We start from the raw sequence: 6,000 nt of genomic DNA, 5'->3' as shown, positions 1-6,000 counted from the left end.
GTGGAGCCCACCACAGCTCAACAAGGCCTACTGCCTCTATAGACTCCACCTCTGTGGGCAGGGCAGCTGAACAAAAGGCAGCAGAAACTTCTGCAGACTTAAACGTCCCTGTCTGACAGCTCTGAAGACAGCAATGGTTCCCCCAGCACAGCGTTTGAGCTCTGAGAATGGACAGACTGCCTCTTCAAGTGGGTCCCTGACCCCTGTGTGGCCTAACTGGGAGACACCTCCCAGTAGGGGCTGACAGACACCTCATATGGGTGGGTGCCCCTCTGAGATGAAGCTCCCAGAGGAAGGATCAGGCAGCAATATTTGCTGTTCTGCAATATTTGCTCTTCTGCAGCCTCCGCTGGTGATACCCGAGCAAACAGTGTCTGGAGTTGACCTCCAGCAAACTCCAACAGACCTGCAGCTGAGTGACCTGACGGTTAGAAGGAAAACTAACAAACAGAAAGGAATAGCATCAACATCAAGAAAAAGGACATCCACACCAAAACCCCATCTGTAGGTCACCAATATCAAAGACCAAAGATAAACAAAACCACAAAGATGGGGAGAAACCAGAGCAGAAAACCTGAAAATTCTAAAAATCAGAGTGCCTCTTCTCCAAAGGATCACAGTCCCTTGCCAGCAACAGGACAAAGCTGGATAGAGAATGACTGACAAGTTGTCAGAAGCAGACTTCAGAAGGTCAGTAATAACAAACTTCTCCAAGCTAAAGGAGCATGTTCTAACCCATCACAAGGAAGCTAAAAACCTTGAAAAAGGGGTAGACGAATGGCTAACTAGAATAAACAGCGTAGGGAATAACTTAAATGACCTGATGGAGCTGAAAACCATGGTACGAGAAGTTCGTGATGCATGCACAAGCTTCAATAGCCAATTTGATCAAGTGGAAGAAAGGATATCAGTGATTGAAGATCAAATTAATGAAATAAAGCGAAACGACAAGTTTAGAGAAAAAAGAGTAAAAGGAAACAAAGCCTCCAAGAAATATGGGAGTATATGAAAAGACCAAATCTACATTTGATTTGTGTACCTGAAAGTGATGGAGAGAATGCAACCAAGTTGAAAAACACTCTTCAGGATATTATCCAGGAGAACTTCCTCAACCTAGCAAGGCAGGCTGACATTCAAATTCAGGAAATACAGAGAACACCACAAAGATAGTCCTTGAGAAGAGCAACCCCAAGACACATAATTTTCAGATTCACAAGGTTGAAATGAAGGAAAAAATGGTAAGGGCAGCCAGAGAGAAAGGTCAGGTTACCCACAAAGGGAAGCCCATCAGACTAACAGCTGATCTCTCAGCAGAAACCTTACAAGCCAGAAGAGAGTGGGGGCCAATATTCAACATTCTTAAAGAAAAGAATTTTCAACCCAGAATTTCATATCCAGCCAAACTAAGCTTCATAAGTGAAGGAGAAATAAAAATCCTTTACAGACAAGCAAATGTTGAGAGATTTTGTCACCACCAGGCCTGCCTTACAAGAGCTCCTGAAGGAAGCACTAAACATGGAAAGGAACAACCGGTACCAGCCACTGCAAAAACATGCCAAACCGTAAAGACCATGGATGCTATGAAGAAACTGCAACAATTAAAGGGCAAAATAACCAGCTGACATCATAATGATAGGATCAAATTCACAAATAACAATATTAACCTTAAATGTAAGTGGGCTAAATGCCACAATTAAAAGACACAGACTGGCAAATTGGGTAAAGAGTCAAGACCCATCAGTGTGCTGTATTCAGGAAACCCATTTCACATGCAGAGACACACATAGGCTGAAAATAAAGGGATGGAGGAAGATCTACCAAGCAAATGGAAAGCAAAAAAAAAGCAGGGGTTGCAATCCTAGTCTCTGATAAAACAGACTTTAAACCAACAAAGATCAAAAGAGACAAAGAAGGCCATTACGTAATGGTAAAGGGATCAATTCAACAAGAAGAGCTAATTATCCTAAATATATATGCACCCAATACAGGAGCACCCAGATTCATAAAGCAAGTCCTTAGAGACCTACAAAGAGACTTAGACTCCCACACAATAATAATGGGAGACTTTAACACCCCACTGTCAACATTAGACAGATCAACGAGACAGAAAGTTAACAAGGATATCCAGGAATTGAACTCAGTTCTGGACCAAGCGGACATAATAGACATCTACAGAGCTCTCCACCCAAAATCAACAGAATATACATTCTTCTCAGCACCACATCACATTTATTCTAAAATTGACCACATACTTGGAAGTAAAGCACTCCTCAGCAAATGAAAAAGAACAGAAATCACAACAAACTGTCTCTCAGACCTCAGTGCAATCAAGTTAGAACTCAGGATTAAGAAACTATTTCAAAACCACACAACTACATGGACACTGAATAACCTGCTCCTGAATGACTACTGGGTAAATAACAACATGAAGGTAGAAATAAAGATGTTCTTTGAAACCAATGAGAACAAAGACACAACTTACCAGAATCTCTGGGACACATTTAAAGCAGTGTGTAGAGGGAAATTTATAGCACTAAATGCCCACAAGAGAAAGCAGAAAGGATCTAAAATCGACACCCTAACATTACAAAAGAACTAGAGAAGCAAGAGCAAACAAATTCAAAAGCTAGCAGAAGGCAAGAAATAACTAAGATCAGAGCAGAACTGAAGGAAATAGAGACACAAAAAACCCTTCAAAAAATCAATGAATCCAGGAGCTGGTTTTTGGAAAAGATCAACAAAATTGATAGACTGCTAGCAAGACTAATAAAGAAGAAAAGAGAGAAGAATCAAATAGATGCAATAAAAAATGATAAAGGGGATATCACCACCGATCCCACAGAAATACAAACTACCATCAGAGAATACTATAAACGCCTCTATGCAAATAAACTAGAAAATCTAGAAGAAATGGATAAATTCCTAGACACAGAGACCCTCCCAAGACTAAACCAGGAAGAAGTTGAATCTCTGAATAGACCAATAACAGGCTCTGAAATTGAGGCAATAATTAATAGCTTACCAACCAAAAAAAGTCCAGGACCAGATGGATTCACAGCCAAATTCTACCAGAGGTACAAAGAGGAGCTGGTACCATTCCTTCTGAAACTATTCCAATCAATAGAAAAAGAGGGAATCCTCCCTAACTCATTGTATGAATACAGGATCATCCTGATCCCAAAGCCTGGCAGAGACACAACAAAAGAATAGACAATTCTCAAAAAAAAACATACAAATGGCCAACAAACATGAAAAAATGCTCAACATCACTAATGACCAGGGAAACTCAAATAAAAACCACAGTGTGGTACCACCTTACTCCTGCAAGAATGGCCGTAATCAAAAAATCAAAAGACAGTAGATGTTGGCATGGATGCTGTGAACAGGGAACACTTCTACACTGCTGGTGGGATTGTAATCTAGTATAGCCACTATGGAAAACAGTGTGGAGATTCCTTAAAGAACTACAAGTAGAACAGCCATTTGATCCAGCAATCCCACTACTGGGTATCTACCTAGAAGAAAAGAAGTCGTTATTCAAAAAAGATACTTGCACGTGCATGTTTATAGTGGCACAATTTACAATAGCAAAGTTGTGGAACCAACCGAAATGCCCATCAATCAACGAGTGGATAAAGAAACTGTGATAATACTATGCAGCCATAAAAAGGGATGAATTAACAGCATTTGCATCGACCTAGATGAGATTGGAGACTATTATTCTAAGTGAAGTAACTCAGGAACGGAAAACCAAACATCATATGTTCTCACTGATTCTGAGTTTTGAGGACACAAAGCATAAGAATGATACAGTGGACTTTGGGGACTTGTGTGGAAGAGTGGGAGAGGAGAGGGGGATAAACTACAAATATTACAAATATGGTGCAGTATATACAGCCCGGGTGATGGGTGCACCAGAATCTCACAGATCATCACTAAACAACTTACTCATGTAACCAAATACCACCTATACCCCAATAACTTACGGAAAAATAAAAAATAAAAATAAACAAATAAATAAATAAAACTTTTTAATATTGCAGAGGGCCATCATCTTTAGGCTTTAAGGATTTCGCACAAATAGGAGAGAAAAAAGCTAAAACTCATGTAGGTTAAACTGACAAAGTTCCCAAAAGACAATTTTCAAAGGAGGAAATCCAACTAGAAATAAACTCTAATACTGATACAATACTTTGGAACCAATTTTTGATAGTCAAAAGAGTCATTTTATTTCACGTAATAATTTTGCTGCTAAAAATCTATCTAAAAGAATCATAAATTTTGGAGGAGAAATTTTTATTATCTAACTCAAGAATAGGAAGGCCTTTCTTTTTCTAACTCAAGATGTTCTTGGTATCCTTGCTGGGAACTAACTAAAGTGAGAGAAACTGGGCAGAGAGACAGAACCCACAATTCAAGCATTCAGAGTTAACAAGAAGAGTACTAGAGAATTACAGAACACAAGATGTTTGCCTGCTGTTTTGTTTCATGATTCCCAGTGATTGTGAGGGAGCCTGCAGCCCTGCAGCAGTAGTCCATATCTGGGCCTGATCAGAACACAGAAAGAAAATCTCAGATGATCCACAGATTGGAATGCAAAACATCTTTATTCTAATCCTACACAAATTGAGAGCTCTGCCCATGAACATTTAATAGTAACGTTGCAGGAACACTTAATGGTACCATTTTAACTCAGAAATAGTTACTCCTGTACAGTCTTGGTTCCAAGTGGCCTTGAGCCACTTGGAAATGTGAGGCTTCAATTCAAGCCAAATGTGGGGCTTCAATTCAAGCCAAATGGCCAGTAGGGGTTATTAACAGAAGGGTCAAAATACCTCAGTTTACCTATGCAGGTGTCCAGGCCACCTTACAAAACAGCAGCTCTCTGCCAGGGTAGCTTCTCCTTGGTGATAGTTAATACAAATTATTTTCTAGAACCATGGTGACACAGAACCTGGAAACTGACATTGAATCCCTAGCTGTCCATCAAGAAGCACTAATGCACCATGCCGCCACCTGCCATTAGGATAGCTTTTACCACCACCAGGCCACTTGTCATTTCTCTGCAGAATGCACTTGACTGGATCAGCCTGTAATACACTGACATGATTTCAGCTAAACTACAAGGGCTAAATACCAGAGGAGTAGGGCACTTGGAGCAGAGAAGAAAGAGAATGAAATAACTATCATTAACTCCCTAAATTTCAACAAGCATGAAAGTGTCCTCTTCCCAAGAAGTCCACATCCCCAATTTCAGACAGTGTAATGGCAGCTGGCTTTGCAGGGCAGAAGTACAGACACTTATCTGCTGATGAGATGTCTTTCTTCTCCCCCAGAACAGGTGGAGATGATCTTCCGGCATCAGTCCCAGTCCAAGGTTTGGGCCCCTGACCTCATAATCGATTTGATAATAAAGCAGTGGTTTGTAGACTCCATTTAGAATCTCACTGACAATCAGTAACTATAGACTTTTATTCTAGAGAAATGTGCATATGCACAGGCTTCTGCCACATACCAGTGAACCATATCAGTGAACCACACAGACTTACAGAGGCCCCTCCATGGAGCCCCTTTAGCTATCAGCCAGTTCTCTCTCCACTCGTGCCATCACTCCCCATCTTGTGTCTGTAACAGGTCTCATTAATGGTGCATGGAGCTCTATTCTGTTGAACTAGGAAGCAATGTTACAACCTTTGCTGGCACAGGGCTCCTAGAAGCCTCTCAGAATTAATTTCAGCAAGCCTGTGGATAAAACATATTTGTCACTCTGTCCATAAACATCAGTGGTACAAAAAAAAATCTGTTTCAGATAAACCCTTCTTAGTCTGACTTCCTCCTGGCTGGATTTATGTATGGTTCTCTAATGATGTGGAAAAGCAGTTTGGTTCTAAGGAAAAACAAAACCACCTATGGTGAGAAATTAAGAGCAAAATTACATAAGAGTTTTTTTTTTTTAAATTGGTATTCTGGCTGCATTTTTCAACTAAGAGTCATAAAATC

Source organism: Homo sapiens, chromosome 15 (assembly GCF_000001405.40).
Source record: "Homo sapiens chromosome 15, GRCh38.p14 Primary Assembly".
NCBI classification, from domain to species: Eukaryota; Metazoa; Chordata; class Mammalia; order Primates; family Hominidae; genus Homo; species Homo sapiens.
This window is presented reverse-complemented; position numbering follows the sequence as displayed.